Source organism: Homo sapiens, chromosome 17 (assembly GCF_000001405.40).
Source record: "Homo sapiens chromosome 17, GRCh38.p14 Primary Assembly".
Classification (NCBI taxonomy): Eukaryota; Metazoa; Chordata; class Mammalia; order Primates; family Hominidae; genus Homo; species Homo sapiens.
Genome location: NC_000017.11, coordinates 79,656,955 through 79,674,073, shown reverse-complemented (window position 1 = coordinate 79,674,073; position 17,119 = coordinate 79,656,955). Strand labels below are relative to the sequence as shown.

Here is a 17,119-nt window from a genome sequence, read left to right as displayed (position 1 = left end):
TTTTTGGGTTCAGGTCTTGCCTCAGCCACTTGAATGATGGTGGGTGGATGGCATGGTCTCTCTTCTTCAGTTTTGCTATCTTGTGTCTGGGTGTGGGTTTCTTTTGGTTTGTCCTTCTTGGGGTTTGTTTGGTTTCTTGAAAACATGGCTTGATGTTTTTCATAAGTTATAGGAAATTCTCAGTGGTTGCTTCTTCAATTTTGCTTTTGCCTATGGGCTCTCTCCCTCCTGGAATTCAGCTTCATGCCAGCCCTTCTCACTGTGTCTGTGGGTCTCCTGTTCTTCTTCTGTTTTGTTGTTTTTTTCCTTCTTTTCTGCCCTTTGGATTCTCCAGGTTTCACTCTGCATGTTTTCTGCAGACCTACTTTCCAGTGTACTAATTCTCTCTTCAGTTATGTCTAATTGCTTTAAAACTTATCCACGGAGTCCTCTATTTCAGTCAGTACATTTTTCAGTTCTGAAATTTTTATTTATATGTTCTTTTTCAAGTCTATGCATTTTTAAAGTAATTCCAACATCTGTAGCTCGTGCAAATCTGCTGATGCTGCTGTCAGATTGGGCACCAGCCATTCTACCTGTTGTCTTCCCCAACCTATTCCCACCAACCACAATCACTCCCTGTGCTTCCTCTAGAAGCATTTTCCAACTTCTCTCTGTAGAACAGTGGAGAAGTCCCAGTTACAGATGCCACTAATCCCTCCTGTGTGTTTTCCCCAGGACTGCGAGAAGAGCCCACTACCACTTGGCTGGCAGTAGAGTCTGGTTTGACCGTGAGCTCCATGAGGGCTCCAAGGTGTGGATTGGGGGAGGACTGGAATCAGGCCCAGACAGCCCCATGGCTTCTCTGTCTCTTGGCCTCACTGAAAGGTTGGTCTTTTGGTAGCACCCCAGGAATACCTGGGAGCTGGGACATTTTGGGGGCAAGGTGAAGCCTAATTTCTCTTCCCCCTTCCTATCCTTCTCAGATCTTTTCTGTCCAAACCTCTCCTCTTGGGGGACTGAGTGGAAATACCAGCCACCCAGTGTGCTGGGCCAGAGCTACAGAGCTACATGGGGTTTCTCTCTTCCAACCCCACCCTATCCCACCTACAGGTCCTGTTTGCTCTTCCTCTCAAACATTTCCAGAGCCCAAGCCCTTCTTACTGTTTCCCTGCAGCAATTGTGGTCTGTATCCCCCCATCCTTTCCACCTGGTGCTGGGTAAAGGGTGAAACCTCCTAAGTGCTGGCCCTGCCGCACAGCTTGGCCCCCAAACAGCAGAGACAGTGGCTGCGCTGCAGCTGCTCCAACCCTGATCCTCCTCCAACCCTGATCCTCCTCCAGCACAGCCTGCTCCCAAGCCAGATGTGGGTGTTTGGCTCTGTGAGCGAGGGCCTGGCTTCTGCAGGATGCCCACACCACCATGCTCAGAGGCAGCAAGGACAGCCATGGCCCCAGCCCATCCTTGTGGGCTCCAGCCTGTACCTGGGTTCCTCACTCTCGCCCACCTCCCACACTCCACCTGACATCACTGTCCCTTTCCCACAGTCTCCCTTGTGGACTTCAAGCTCCTCACAGAGATGGCTTAACTAGCTCCTCGGTTGTGGTGCGACATCAAATCGCTGTAGAAAAGTCCCTTCATATGTGTGCCTGTGTATGGTACATGTATGTGTGACACGCACATGTATGAATACGTATATATGCAATTGTATCTACATGTAATATGCACGCATGTGTATTTGCACCTATACATGCATTTGTGGGTGTGTATATGCATGTGTACATGTATATGTATGTGCATGCATGTGTGTATATGTAAAAGTATGCATATATCTATGTGTAGAGATATACATGTGTGTTCATGTTTGTATAAACACATATGCACCTATGTACATTTATGTGTATGTGTCCATCTATGTGTGTGCCTGTGTACATGCATATGCATTCATCTATCAATGTGTGTATGTGTTTATGTGCATATGTGTGTATGTGTGCAAGTACGTATATGTGTGAGTTTCTATCTACGTACTTGTAGATATATGTGTACCTGTATATGTGCTGATACACCTATCTCTATGTATTTGCATGTGTATAGGTACATGTGCATCCATGTGTGTCTGTGTGTCTATGTGAGCATCTACGCATGCACTGCATGTAGGTGTATGTGTGCATCCATGTGTGTCTGTGCATTTGCATAAGCATGTGGGCATCTAGGCCTGTGTATGCGTGCATGCAGGTGCACACACACAGTCTCCTGGGGGCTCTGCTTCACTCACAAATGCTGGTGGCTGTGCCTCCCTGTCATTTAGGTCTCAACTCCAGTGTCCTCTGCTTAGGCCTCCCGACAACCTAAAGATGCCCAGCAGCCCTGCGGTGGCCAGTTACTTCCACCAGAAGTGACTTCTCTTCTCTGCAGAGCCCACACAGGCACCTACAATGACATCATTACTTGTTTCGTTTGTGTGCTCTGCGTGTCTCCCACCAGGGGCACCGTGGACCCACGACCCAGCAGGGCCTGGTGCTGGGAGGGGCCTGAGGCTGGCCCATTGGGTATCTCCACTTGCCAGGGGAGATGTGTGGAGCCTTTGAGTGGTGGAGCAGCGGCTCTGGGGGCTGACCTGCCTCTGACTCGATTCCATAGTCCCCAGACCTATGCAGTGTCAGTCTGTCTGTGCTCCTCCATGACTCAGGACCGTGCCTCTCCCCTCCATGGAGGATGCATGTGGCCTGTCAGCATCCTCTGAAATGGCTCTCCGGATGCCACTGAGACAGAAGCAATTTCCAGGCCCCCAATGAGGCTGGCGCAGCTGTCTCGCCCAGAAAGCATGGCCATTTGTGTCTGCTTCATTCCCGAGGGGCCTCACATTGGGAACATGGCTCTGAGCCTGGATGGAGGAGGGAGCTGTGGGTGTGGGCTGGGCTACTGTCCCCCACCAACCCCCCTGCAGCCCCCATGGACACCCTGCTCTGCTCCCTCCCGGTGGGGTGAGAAGGGAGGTAAACACCGTGGGGGCAGCTGGAGCCTGCAGTTGGAGAGTTGGAGAGAGAAATACCTTTTATTCCCTCCCTTCCCTGCCAGGAGGACCTCCTGGAGCCAACTGCTCCGACTCCTGAAATAAATTAGCATTCAGAGGGTCTGGCGGCTGAGATGTTGCTCTACCGCACAGGGAAGGAATACAGAAGCACCCGTGGAAGATTACTTTGTAGAAAAGCATGAAAGCTCTGGGAAAGGGCCTTGACGCTTCTGCTGCTAATAAATTTCAGCCGGTGCAGCAAGATAATAATGGGATGAGCGTGTGTGCGCGTGCGCACGTGTGTCTTCTGGAGTTTCAGGGACTGAAGTGGCTCCTGCTGGGCTGGGGTGGGTGTGAGTCTTTGGCAGGCCGGGTGCTGGGCAGCTGGGGCCAGACACGTGCCTGGCTGGGCTGCCCTGGATGACTCCTCAGCTGCCCGGTCCTCTCTGGGTTCACAGCTCCAGTTTTAGTCTTCATCACCATTGATTTGTGTCTCAGGAACCTCCCAGGGATTTTCAACTTGCAGAGATGGCTGGCGGTGGCAGGCGCCAACTGCCACCTTCACCCTGCAGGTGAAGGAGGCTGCTTCATTTTGAGGCTGTGTTGAACCTCAGATTGCAGCTGAGAGTGGCCTTTCCTCCCCCCATGAAGAGACTGAGATCCCTAAGTGCATTCTGGAAGGGACAGCTGCCTCCTTATCCTTCAAATGCACGGCAGCCAGGAGGAGCCTGCTTTCCCTGGGGCTCCTACTGGGCAGGACCTGCAACAAGGGGCTTTGCCACCAACCCTGTCTCCCCCTTGGTGACCTAACCCCATTGATTTCCCCCAATCTGCATCTGATGAGAGGTGCACAGCAGTCACTACTCCAGCAGCTGGGCCAGTGAATGCAGAGGGAAGTGGGAGGGTGGAGCCTGAACCCCCGGCCAGGACGACCAGCACATGGGCAGGCCTTGCCAGCTCATAGGAAAACTCACCCCTGTGGCTGGAGGCAGCACCCGAAACTCAGGACAGTGATGAGCAAGGGGCAGCCACAGCACAGGTTGTAGGAACACAGTGGACCTGGCTGGGTGTGTCAATAATTCATATGGGCAGAGAAGTCACCTGCAGTCCCCACAGCTTCTCCCCAGGAGCCCACTGGCCACTGTGACCCAAGTTTCTCTGGTCACCCTGAGTGTACTTGTCGTGAGGATGGGGACAATGTTTGAATTCCCTCCTGGGGACCCACCAGATGAGCAAGTAGCTGCCACTGTCTTCCTCTGAAGGCACAGGCTGGCCCCATCTCACCTCTTGTCCAGGGTCTCCGGCAGCTGCCTGCTGGAAGGCTCCTGGACGTCTGGCTTCTGTCTTCAGTCCCCTGGTGCCCTGGACCCTCCTCACCACTCAGCCTTGCTGCTGCACTGAGTCACACAGTTTGTAGCCTCAGTGCCTCCAGCTCAGTCCTCGCAGCCAATAAATGTTTGTTGAATAACTGAGTGAACTTCTGGCTGGCAGCGTCCCTACATGGCTTCCCCGTCCCCACGTGCATCTTGTCACCGTTTGATCTTCTTCACCCTGGGCAGCGTTGGCCCAGGACCTCTGTGTGGGACATGGGCCTGGTTCTTTCCTCCGTTTGAAATCCTGCACATCCCTCAGAACCCTATTCAAATGTCACCTCCTCCAGGAAGCCTTCTGTGTGCCTCTAACTAAAGGTTATCCTTCCATTCCTGGGCTCCTGGAACTTGGCGCTGTTTCGTAGCCTTGCCAGTGGCCAGAAGCTTTTCCCTGGAGCCTGGGCCTGTCCATTGATTTCTTCATCTGTCAACCTGCCTGGAGGGCAGGTGGGCAGGTCATAAGCATTCATTGCAACAATTAAAGGAAAGCACGAGTGGGGTGATCTTGTGCTCCCTGATGGTTAAGCAGGACCCAGCTCCATCTCAGACTCCCAGGGACCCGCCAGCAGCCCGGGGTCCTGAGAAGCGCACATGCATCCAACCAGGCAGCGTGTCTTCAGTTTCCCCATTCCCTCCTTAGGCCCATCCAACCGGGATTCTGAGACCTGATCCACCCTCATCCTGCAAGGTCCGTCAAGAATGAGGACCAGCTTTCCTGGGGTCCCCTCCAGGTGGGAAGAAGCCGTCTCCAATATGCTGTCTGCCTGGAAAGTGCCCCCGTGCTGAGCCCAGGTAAGCCAGGGTGCCGTCATCCCGCACATCTGGAAATGAGCTTCCTGAGGCGTGGGGGCCTGGGCTGAAGGAGGACCAGTGGCCTGTGGGCTGGCCGGATGATGGCATGCCCTCAAAATGGCAGCAGCTGGCTCAGTGACACAGCAGGAGCAAGAGCAGCTTGGTGGGGGGAAGGGAGAATCTGTCTCGGGGCATTTGCCAAGTCAGCAGAAAGAGTGTTTGGGATCAGAGGGGAGGAGGTGGAGGGGAGCGAGTCCCCAGGCTGGCGTGTGTGCGTTGGACAGCACAGCTGCAGTTGGCTGGGGCTCACTGCTGCTCCTCTCACTCAGGTGCTCCTCCCACTCAGGTGTCCCTCCCTGCTCAGGTGCTCCTTCCTGTTTAGGTGCTCTTCCCAATCAGGCTGATCCACCCTCTCAGGTGTTCCCCCTGCTTAGATGTTCCTCCCACTCAGGTGCTCCTTGCTGCTGAGGCTGTTCCTCCCTGCTCAGGTGCTCCTTTCTTCTCAGGCTGCCAGGAGAGAATTCAGAGACCTTACAGTTGTCCCTCTCTAAGCATGACAGCTGCTGCCTTTTCTTTCTTGCTAAGTAGGAATAACGGGCAAGTGTCCCTTGTGGCCTCATCAAGGGGTCTTTTTTTTTGAGAGAAAGATGGATTTTGAAATTCCCTCTATTTCTGTCCCAGGTGGCAGGTGACCATTTACGAGAACACTGCTGTGTTGATGTTTTGAAGCTGTCTCAAATCTGACCTGATCTCTCTGTCTCCTTTCCTTCGGGTACCCACTGCTGGTCTGTGCCTGCTGCATGCCTTTCAGAAGCAGGGGCACTGGCAGGACCGTAGGGGCCATCTCTCCATGGTCTCCTGGCCTCCAGCCTTGTCCCCCACATCATGCCCTGCACTGCACTAGGCTGGCGTGTTTAGCATGGGAACCCGCTCATGCCTCTCCCCTGTTGTAACCAGCTGCCAGTGCTCCTGGTTGCCCAGGACTATCTCTATGCTGCCAGGCACAGCTGGCAGGTTCCAGGTCTGTGGGCCAGGTCTGATTCTGCAACGCCCCCGAGTGCTGGCCCTGAGTGTGCCTCCATCCGCCTCTGTGCCTTGTTCGTGCCGTGCCCTCTGCCTGGACTGCCCTCTCTTCTTCTCTGCCCCTGGCCCATGGTGCATATCTTTTAAGACCAAGCTGAGGACTCCCCTTGCCCAAGAAGCATTTCCTGAGCTTCTGGTTGGGCCAAGTGTCCGGGGGCCTTGTCTTCCCACCCATGGCCCATCTGTCTTCGTTTATCTCATCAGCATCCTGAGGCCAAAGGCTGTTTTATTCCTCTCTGTACCACGAGCTCCTGGCACATATCTGCTCTCCACAGAGGCTTGCCACACCGACCCAGGGAGGCTGAGCGGAGCCGTTCTCCAGCAGTGAGAGTGTGTGGCTGCGTCCCATGTTAGAGTCGTCTGTGAGGAGCAGGCATGGGAATGGCCCACACCATGAGGCCTCCCTCCGAAACGGTTGCCTTGACCCAATTCACCAGGCCAGAGGTCACCCTGGGGTTTGGGCAGGAGGTGTATCAGTCAGTCCTGTTAACTGCTGTGACAAGCAGTCCCCACCTCCTGCAACATAGCACACCACATGCACGCTTGCTCTCTTCTCACAGTGTCCTTCACAAGACAGGCTCAGCCGCTCCTCCTTCTGTGACAGTGTCCTCTCCAAGATGGGGATGTGGACCCTCATCCTGGAAGAGACACCACACTTTTTCAATTCCACTCCTTTGGCTAGAACCAGACACGTAGTTCCGTCCTCATGCAGTGGGGGTGGAGTGTGATATGGTTTGGCTGTGTCCCCACCCAAATCTCATCTTGAATTATAGCTCCCATAATTCCCATGTGTTGTGGGAGGAAACTGGTGGGAGATAATTGAATCATGGGGGTGGTTCCCCCATACTGTTCTCATGGTAGAGAGTAAGTCTGATGAGATGCGATGGTTTTATGAGGGGAAACCTCTTTTGCTTGGCTCTCATTCTCTCTCTCTCTCTCTTTTTTTTTTTTTTTGAGATGGAGTTTTGCTCTTGTTGCCCAGGCTGGAGTGCAATGGCATGATCTCACTGCAACCTCTGCCTCCTGGTTTCAAGCGATTCTCCCGCCTCAGCCTCCGGAGTAGCTGGGATTATAGGTGTCTGCCACCACACCGGCTAATTTTTTGTATTTTTAGTAGAGACGGGCTTTCACCATGTTGACCAGGCTGGTCTCGAACTCCCAACCTCAGGTGATTTACCCATCTCAGCCTCCCAAAGTGCTGGGATTACAGGCATGAGCCACCACACCCAGCCTCATTCTCTCTTTTCTGCCACCATGTAAAACGTGTTTGTGACCCTCCACCATGATTGTGATGCCTCCCTAGCTACGTGGAACTTTGAGTCTATTAAACTTATTTTTCTTTATAAAGTACCCAGCCTTGGCTATGTCTTTATCAGCAGCATGAAAACGGACTAATATGGGTGGGGAGTGCAGTTCCCCCTGGTTACCCACCTTGGGGGCCAGGGAGCCCCATGTCTGTTGGGGCCAGCTTGTTGTCCCTGTCACAGGGGTTTGGGACCAACTATGTGGCTTTGTGCACATGACCTGCTAGCTCTGTGCCCCGAATTTCCTGGCCTTTAAATGGACACGATACACCTCCTGTGGAGATTAACACGCTGTCATCAGTAAAGAGCCTCTCGCGGCCAGGCACCTGTTACCTGTTCAGCCTTTGGTAGTTACTCTGAGTCTACAGTGATGAGAGCTCCCGGGGATGTAATTTGGATAAAGCAGCAGCAATGGCCCCCTGCACTGCTGACCCTCCAGTCCCTTGTCCTGGAGAAAGCTTCCTTTTACTACCATTCATTTTTTCTTTTTCTTTTTTTTTTTGAGATGGAGTCTTGCTCCGTCACCCAGGCTGGAGTGTAGTGGCACAATCTCAGCTCACTGCAACCTCTGCCTCCTGGATTCAAGTGATTCTCCTGCCTCAGCCTCCTGAGTAGCTGGGATTAAAGCTGTGTACCACCACACCTGGCTGATTTTTATTTATTATTATTATTATTTATTTATTTTTTTATTTTTTTTAGTAGAGACAGGGTTTTGCCATGTTGGCCAGGCTGGTCTCGAACTCCTGACCTCAGGTGATCTACTCGTCTTGGCCTTCCAAAGTGCTGGGATTATAGGCATGAGCCACCGCGCCAGGCCCTTTTCCTACCATTTCTGAAGTCTGGGGCTGGCAGCCAGAGGCTTCACGTGAGCCACTGTTGGCCTCGTGCACACACTTGGCGCGGATCCCGTGGGGCTGTGGAGCAGCCGCTTTTTATGCCCATGCAACTGTGCAGAGTCCTCAGATAACACATCCCAAAGCCTGTCAGAGCCAGAGGCACAAGGCCCCACTTATACTTGGGCAAAGAGAGGCCAGGGGTCTTGCCCAAGTCACTGGCAAAGCCGCAGCTCAGACCCCGGCGTCGGTTTCCAGGCCCCTCCTCTCTGCTCCGCTCCTCTCCAGGCCCCTCCTCTCTGCTCCGCTCCTCTCCAGGCCCCTCCCAGGTAAGGAGATTTCGTGCAGCTCTGGCCCCATCTCGGTGAAATGATAAAAGTTTGTGTAGAATGTGTCCCGTGTGCTCTTCTGGCAAAAGCTATTGGAAAATGACAAGTAAGAGAGATAAAAAGGGGATGTAAAAGGGACATAAAAATTCTGATAGAGTCTCGAGAGCTCAGGACAAATCTTGCTTCTCCTTTGCCGATTTGAAGAGAGTGAAACAGAGATTTGTGGGCGGGTGTGGGGCTTGCATAGGGCCCTGTCTAACCTGTTTGTTCACCTGAAGACTCAAATATCTGAATCTGAATGCCGGATCAAGGAGTGTCAGGATTTCCCAGCCGAAAGATGGAAGCAACCCCAGTGTCCATAGACAGATGAATGGTTAAACAAACTATGATCTTTCCAGAAAATAATAGAATTCAGCCTTAAAAATGGAAGGAAATTCTGACACGTGCTCTAACGTGGATGAACCCTGAGGACATTATGCTAAGTGAAATAAGCCAGTCACAAAAGGACAAATCCTGTGTGATTCCACTTATAGAAGGTCCCTCCTTGTGGACAGAGGAGAACAGTGGTCTCCAGGGACCGGGGGGAGGAGGGAGTAAGAGGTGTCATCTAATGGGGACAGAATTGTAGTTTGGGAAGATGGAAGAGTTCTATGGACAGGTGGTGGCTATACAACAATGGCCAGGTAATGCCACTGAACCGTGCACTTACAAATGGTGAGAGTAGGCCGGGCGCGGTGGCTCACGCCTATAATCCCAGCACTTTGAGAGGCCGAGGCGGGTGGATCACCTGAGGTCAGGAGTTCGAGACCAGCCTGGCCAACATAGTGAAACCCCATCTCTACTAAAAATACAAAAAATTAGCCAGGTGAGGTGGTGGGCGCCTGTAGTCCCAGCTACTCGGGAGCCTGAGGCAGGAGAATGGCGTGAACCCCGGGGGGCGGAGCCTGCAGTGAGCTGAGATAACACCACTGCACTCCAGCCTGGGCGACAGAGCGAGACTCCATCTCAAAAAAAAAAAAAATACAAAAATTAGCCAGGCATGGTGGCACGTGCCTGTAATCCCAGCTACTCGGGAGGTTGAGGCAGGAGAATTGCTTGAATCTGGAAAGTGGAGGTTGCAGTGAGCTGAGATTGCGCCACTGCACTCTAGCCTGGGCAACAGAGTGAGGCTCCATCTCAAAAAAAAAAAAAGGTAAGAATGGTAAATTTAACGTTGTGTTTTACCACACTTAAAAAAAGCAGAGTATTCCCAACTGTTCTGTGTCTTTCCCATCCCTTCTCCCACCCGAGCAGAGGTGTTTCCAGTAGTGCAGGAACCCCAAAGACAAACACGGAGGCTTTTTGGGGCTGGCGAGGCCTGCTCGTCGGGACCTGCCTTCCTTGGTAGTCAGCGTCTTTCCCTCTTCCCTGGTCCTTTCTGGATTTCAAGTTTCACGCCTCAGTTCTCTCCCAAGCTTTATACTCAACACGAAGATTGGGCTTCAAGGGAATTTTGTATTGTTCTACGTAAATTCAAACTTACAAAAGATCCTTGGGGGATTGATTGGCCAATGTTATCACATCACCCCACCCCCGCCCCAAGATTTACTGCGTTATTAACTTCTAGTAGGATAACTTCCAATGCAATTTAATATGAACTGTGTCCATGCACAGCAACTCAACTTTCCTTGTTGGCTGAGGGTCAGGGGGGCCAAATACATCCTTGATTGACAGCAAGTTACACACAAGTAGTATTCTGTCTGCAGATGAAACTAGAGCTGTGTCAATATTTTGGGAGGTCTGGGCGAAGTGGCAAAGAATGAGGAACAGGTATGTGGGGGCACAAGGTGTCTGCAGAATCTTCTCTGGGGGAAACACCCTGTGATGTTTGCATCTCAGAAGTCCTTGGCAAGGTCAGACCCCCTATAAAGGACTTGGGAGGAGAACAGCCTCAGCCCAGGATGACTTCATTGTGGAGACAGAAACGAATTCTTCTCTAAGTGGGAAGAAGCTCTTTGGCTGCATTAAGAGTCTGAAATCTGATGAAAAGGCGAATAGATTCATTCTTCCTGGCATCAGTCACCTGGGACTTCATCAGACTCAAACCGATTAGGAAAATTCACATTGAAAGCATCATTTATAATGGACCCAAATCATAGAAAACATTTGGCTTGGAGGAAGGTAGAAATAGCATTTCTACCTAAGCCATAATCTTTCACCATCTCCCCTTCCTCCTTTGCGGTGTTGACAGCCATGTCTCCTCCCCAAGACTAATCATTAGACTAATTAGTGGCTAATCAATGTTTAATTAAAACCTAGCCATTAATTATAGGAAATGCCAGGGTAACCAGGGAATAAAACGTGGTTGCAGGAGGGATCAGATTTCCTTAAATTTGGCTGATGACTTAAACAGCGACGTTTCCTTCCTGTGTTTGTCATTCCTTGTTTGTACTTTGGTGTGGGAGGGTCTGGAGGTCTGGAGCGGGGAGAAGAGAGACAGTGAACAGCCGGCTGGATTGCTCTGAGATTTCAGCTTCAGGCCTGTTACCTGGTTTCCTCAGCCACTCCACAGATGCCTTCCCCACGGTTCTGCCGTTTCTCTTCCCATGCCACAAAGTTAATCTATTTTTCCTCTACAAACTTTTTATTGGGTTTCTACATAATTGCATTTAGACTAACACCCAGACTTGTTACCATGAACTTCAAGGTTCTGGATTGATGGTTCTTAACCCCGACTGCGTGTTAGAATCACCAACAGACAGTAAAAAGATTCTAATACAAGGACAGACAAATAGACTAATGAAGACAGCAGAGAGCCCAGGCATGGAACCAGCACAAGAGGGTGTATATGACTGGCACATGACAAAGGCGGTCCCGTTAAGGAGGGCATGGCAGATCTTTGCAACCTATGGGTCCAGCAACCTGTGGTGCTGGATCCATCAAATAGCCACCTTAGAATAAACAGGAAGCAGCCGGGCGCGGTGGCTCACACCTGTAATCCCAGCACTTTGGGAGGCTGAGGTGGGCGGATCACAAGGTCAGGAGATTGAGACCATCCTGGCTAACATGGTGAAACCCTGTCTCTACTAGAAATACAAAAAATTAGCCAGGTGTGGTGGTGGGCGCCTGTAGTCCCAGCTACTCAGGAGGCTGAGGCAGGAGAATGGTGTGAACCCAGGAGGCAGAGCTTGCAGTGAGCAGAGATTGCACCACCGCACTCCAGCCTGGAGTGAGTGAGACTCCGACTCAAAAAAAAAAAGAATAAACAGGAAGCTTGATCCCTACCTCACACTGTATCAAAAAAAAATCTGTCTTCTAGAAGATAACACAGAAGATGTAGAATATCTTCATGATTCAAAGAATATTAACCACAAGGGGAAATATTAACAAATCAGATTATATTAAGAATAAGAGCAATGGGCACAATCAAAGGGTACAATTAAGAGAGCAAAAAGGCAAGGACCAAGTGGAAGAAGATATTGGCAACATATGTCACCAAAAAAGGGCTCACAGAAAAATGGGAAAAAGACTTGAACAAGCACTTCACCAAGTGCTTTACTAGTCATCAGGTAGAACCAGATACTGCCATCTAGACACTGGAATGGCTACAGTGAATAGGTTGCCAGTCCTAAGGGTTGCTAGAAATATAGAATGATTGGGGCATCCCTATATTGCTGGTAGGAATGTAAATGGGAACAATCACTTTGGAAGACTGTTTAGCAGAATCTACTAAAGGTGAACATACACCTGCCCCAGAACCCAGCTACTCTATCCCTAGATATCACCTGCCAGAAATGCAAGCCCAGATGCACTGAAATGTGTGCATGAGTGTGACCACAGCAGCACTGTTTTTCACAACTTCAAGCTTGAAGTAACCCAGGCCAAGCAACACAGTAGTGTGGCCAAATAAATTGTGAAATCACACAATTATGATTCTAAACAGAACTACACTCTATGAACACTAAACACTAAACAGCACATCTATACTCTATGAACCTCACCAAATAATGTAGAATCAAAGAATCCAGGCATTCCACTCATGTGAAGTTCAGAAATGGGCAAGATGGAAATCTTTTTTTTTTAACCTTTTTTAAAAAAAATCTTCAACTTTTATTTTAAGTTCATGGGTACATGTGCAGGATGTGTAGGTTTGTTACATAGGTAGATGTGTGCTGTGGTAGTTTGCTGCACAGCTCGTCCCATCACCTAAGTATTAAGCCCAGAATCCATTAGCTATTCTTCCTGATGCTCTCCCTCCCCCTGCCCAACAGGCCTCAGTGTGTGTTATTCCCCCAACCCTGTGTCCATGTGTTCTCATCATTCAGCTCCTACTTATAAGAACATGTTGTGTTTGGTTTTCTGTTCCTGTGTTAGTTTACTAAGGATAATGGCTTCCAGCTCCATCCACATCCCAGCAAAGGACATGTTCTCATTCCTTTTTTTGGCTGCATAATATTCCATGGTATATATGTATCATGTTTTCTTTATCCAATCTGTGATTGATGGGCATTTGGGTTGATACCATGTCTTTGCAATTGTGAATAGTACTGCAGTGGGCATACACGTGCATGTATCTTTATAATAGAACGATTTATATTCCTTTGGGTATATACTCAGTAATGGGATTGCTGGGTCAACTGGTATTTCTGCCTCTAGATCTTTGAGGAATCACCACGTCATCTTCTTATTTACACTCTCACCAACAGGGTAAAAACATTCCTTTTCCTCCATAACCTCGCCAGCATCTGTTGTTTCTTGACTTTAATAATTGCCATTCTGACTGGTGTGAGAAGAAGTCTTGTTGTGGTTTTGATTTGCATGTCTCTAATGTTCAGTGATGTTGAGCTTTTTTTCATATGCTTCTTGACCACATGTATGTTTTCTTTTGAGATGTGTCTGTTCATATCTCTTGCCTACTTTTTAATGGGGTTGATTTTTTCTTGTAAATGTGTTTAAGTTCCTTATAGACTCTGGCTATCAGACCTTTGTCAGATGGATAGATAGCAAATTTTTCTCCCATTCTGTAGGTTGTGTGTTCACTCTGATGATAGTTTCTTTTGCTGTGCAGAGCTCTTTAATTAGATCCCATTTGTCAATTTTTGCTTGTGTTGCGATTGCTTTCGGTGTTTTTGTCATGAAATCTTTGCCCCTGCCTATGTCCTGAATGGTATTGCCTAGATTTTTGATTTTTGATTTTTTTTATTTTAGATGAAATCTCATTCTGTCTCCCAGGCTGGAACGCAGTGGTGTTATCTTGGCTTACTGCAACCTCTGCCTTCCAGGGTCAAGTGATTCTCCAGCCTCAGCCTCCTGAGTAGCTGGGATTACAGGCGCCCGCCACCATGCCCTGTTCATTTTTATATTTTTAGTAGAGATGGGGTTTCACCATGTTGGCCAGGCTGGTCTTGAGCTCCTGACCTCACATGATCTGCCCGCCTCAGCCTCCCAAAGTGCTGGGATTATAGGCTTGAGCCACTGTACTCAGCATAGATTTTGATGGAAATCTTGATAGTGGTTCCCTTTAGGGAGGAGAAAGGTGGGAGGCTGGGGGGAAGGGGAGGGAAGAGGGGCCCTCCAGGGATCTGTGTATTCTATTTCTCCATCTCAGTGGTGGTTGCCTGGATTGTCCACTCTGACTATTCATTGAGCCTATACTAATTATTTGTGTACTTTTGAGCATATGTATTATTTTCTTAAACAAAGCAGTAACAAATATAAAGTCTGATCCCAGGCCAGAATCACTGGATCAGTCTCTGGGGAGTGGGGAGGGTCCAGCATGGGAGGTTTCGTGGTGTCTGGGGTGTGGCTCTGATGTATGTCAGGGTCACCACCTGCCCTGGCCTATGCACAGCCCTCCCTTCTTCCCACTCTCGCTCCCCACCTGCCTATCTCCTTGACCTTTCTGTTCCTTGAACTTGCCAGGTGCTTTCCCGCCCCAGTCTTTTGCACCTGCTGTTCTTTGGGCTCTGAGTGCTCTTTCCTAGCTGGATCCAAGTCACCCCCTTAAAGCAACCTTCCCTGCCCTATCTATCCACAACAGGCCGCTTGACCCAGATACCCTCTGGTACATCATCCTGTTTATTTCATTTATTATTCTAGAGACAATGCCTGTGTTCACCAAATTCTATTTCTTTTTCCGGGAAGATTTAAAGGAGGACTCTATTTTCCAGTCTCCCTTGCAGTGAGGTCAGGGTTAGGGGGTTGTAGACGGAAGCAATGCCTTCCACTTCCAGATGTTGTCACGGGCCCCCGCGTGGTCCACACTCCCTGTTCCTGTGCGGTGACCAAGGCGGCCACTCACGTCAGTAGGAAGGGCTCAGGGATGTGAGGAGCCTGGGTCTTGGTGTGACCACTAGGAGGAGCATTGCCAAGAAGAGCTGCCCGGACCACACTCGACTGTGATATAAACAAGAAACAAACCTTTCCGCAAACCTATGAGATGTGAGTGTGTTTTCTACTGCAGCAGAACCTACACTATCCCAGTGCAGGAAGCGCTCATTGCAAATGGAGGTTATCTTGTTGAGTAAGTGACTTGCCTGTAGGCTTCCTGTCTGTGTCTTTGTCTAGAATATAAGCTCTTGTTTCTGTGTTTTCAGGGCCGATGAATGAGCACGTGCCTGGCACACAGTAGGGGCTCAGCAAAATTCTCCTGAGGCGATGACAGTGCAGCACTCGGTGCTGTGCCAAAGGGATGATGGAGGCAGAGATACTGGCCTCAGGGGAGGAGGCAGTGGAATGGAGAGGGACCATTTGCATCTTAGCTCTGCACAAGCGACAGCTTCACTGTTCTGAGCTGCAGTTTCTCCATTAGTAATCAGTGCCTATTCCAGGCAGGCAGGATACTGGCCACGGTGATGGGTAGAATTATCCATGGGTGCAGGTGTGATGGAGTGCACATGCAGGAAGAGAGAGAAAGAGAGAGGGAGAGAGGGAGGGGTGGAGGAGGAGGAGACAGGGAGGGAGAGAGGGAGAGAGATGGCGGGAGAGAGGGAGAGAGGGAGGGGTGGAGGAGGAAGAGACAGGGAGGGAGAGAGGGAGGGGTGGAGGGGGAGGAGACAGGGAGGGAGAGAGAGATGGGGGAGAGAGGGAGAGAGGGAAGGGTGGAGGAGGAGGAGACAGGGAGGGAGGGAGAAATGGAGGAGGGGACCATTTCACTTGGTTAAATTAGGAAATGGGGAACAGAGTGACTCCATGCTTCCTTCTAAGTCATCCTCTGTTTTCTTTCTTTTATGGGCACTGCAAGTCCTTCCCTTTTATAGTAGCAAATTCTCCTGGACTTAAAAAAACCACGAGTAAAGTAAGTCCTGTGCTGCTTGTGTTGGGGCCACTGAAACTCAAGGGCCTCATTTGTCATTCTTACAGAAGAACAGACTGTTCTCAGCCAGTGTCTCTCTCTCCACTAAAGTGAGCCTGGGGTCGTTTCGTCTTGAGGGACTCTGTCCTGAAGATGCCCTCTGTGTCTCCAGGAGGGCCCAGGGCCATACTGGGCCTTCTCCTTGGTGTTACTCTGATGCATTTGCCTGAGAGAGCTTAAGCCTTCTTTAAAAACGGAGGGAAACATCCGTGTTCATTGCTTGGCAGATGCCTGGGACCTGCATTGTAACCTCTGCATTCTTTCCTGTAGTTTAAGGCTGATTTTTTGTGGTGACCCACTGCATTTCACAGCAGAAGCCTGTTGGGTGCTCCAGGTGTCCAGCTCTGTTCTTCATTTTTGAGACAGAGTCTTGCTCTGTTACCCAGGCTGGAGAGCAACGGCACGATCTTGGCTCACTGCAACCTCTGCCTCCCAGATTCAAGCGATTCTCCTGCCTCAGCCTCCTGAGTAGCTGGGACTACAGTTGCCTGCCACCATGCTTGGCTAATTGTTGTATTTTTAGTAGAGACAGGGTTTCACCATGTTGGCCAGGCTGGCCTTGAACTCCCGACCTCAGGTGATCCACCTGCCTTGGCCTCCCAAAGTGCTAGGATTACAGGCGTGAGCCACTGTGCACAGCTCCAGCTCTGTTCTTTATGCTCACTTCTAGAATCCAGCCTCAGAGTTGATGTGTGTGGCTGGGATGTTGATAACATGCTGGGAGTGTGTGGGGGTGGGGTGGGGGACTTGGATGCTTAAAGACCTGCTGCAATCTCCCCCTTAGCTGGTAGGACAGGCCACTGAGGATCAGCTCAGAGGAGAAGGCTTCCATTTGCCGTGTGGCTGCTTCCTCCCCATCCTCTCCCTTCTCTCCTTCCTCCCCTTCCTCCTCATTCTTCTCCTCTTCCAGGGTGCAGTGGGGGAGCCATTGAAGGGCTTAGGGTGGAAGGTGACATGGTCAGATCTGCCTTCTGAAAAGGCCCTCCTACCTGCTGTGTGGAGACCCTGTTGGAACAGGGCAGAGGGAGTGGATGCAACAGGAACAGAGGTCAGCAAACTACCACCCACAGCAAAATCCGGCCT

The 17,119-nt window shown here is 50.4% G+C and overlaps 1 protein-coding gene across 5 annotated transcripts in view, besides 1 other annotated feature; it reads left to right on the top strand.

Moving 5' to 3' along the window:
- Positions 2,145–2,651: an enhancer, noted in NCBI's record as "H3K4me1 hESC enhancer chr17:77645285-77645791 (GRCh37/hg19 assembly coordinates)". NCBI's record gives its function as "activates a minimal SCP1, AML or CMV promoter by ChIP-STARR-seq in primed H9 embryonic stem cells {active_cell/tissue: H9 hESC(primed)}" and the evidence as "EXISTENCE:reporter gene assay evidence [ECO:0000049][PMID:30033119]".
- Positions 8,503–17,119, top strand: part of RBFOX3 (RNA binding fox-1 homolog 3) — a 576,227-nt gene continuing 567,610 nt past the window's right edge. For 3 of the 5 annotated variants that reach the window (NM_001385807.1, NM_001385805.1, XM_024450592.2), the window contains exon 1: positions 15,099–15,205. The gene's annotated coding sequence lies outside the window, so the exon portion shown is untranslated. Of the gene's footprint in view, positions 8,704–15,098; positions 15,206–17,119 lie in introns of those variants that run through there. The other 2 variants (XM_024450593.2, NM_001385838.1) reach the window with 2 other exon arrangements.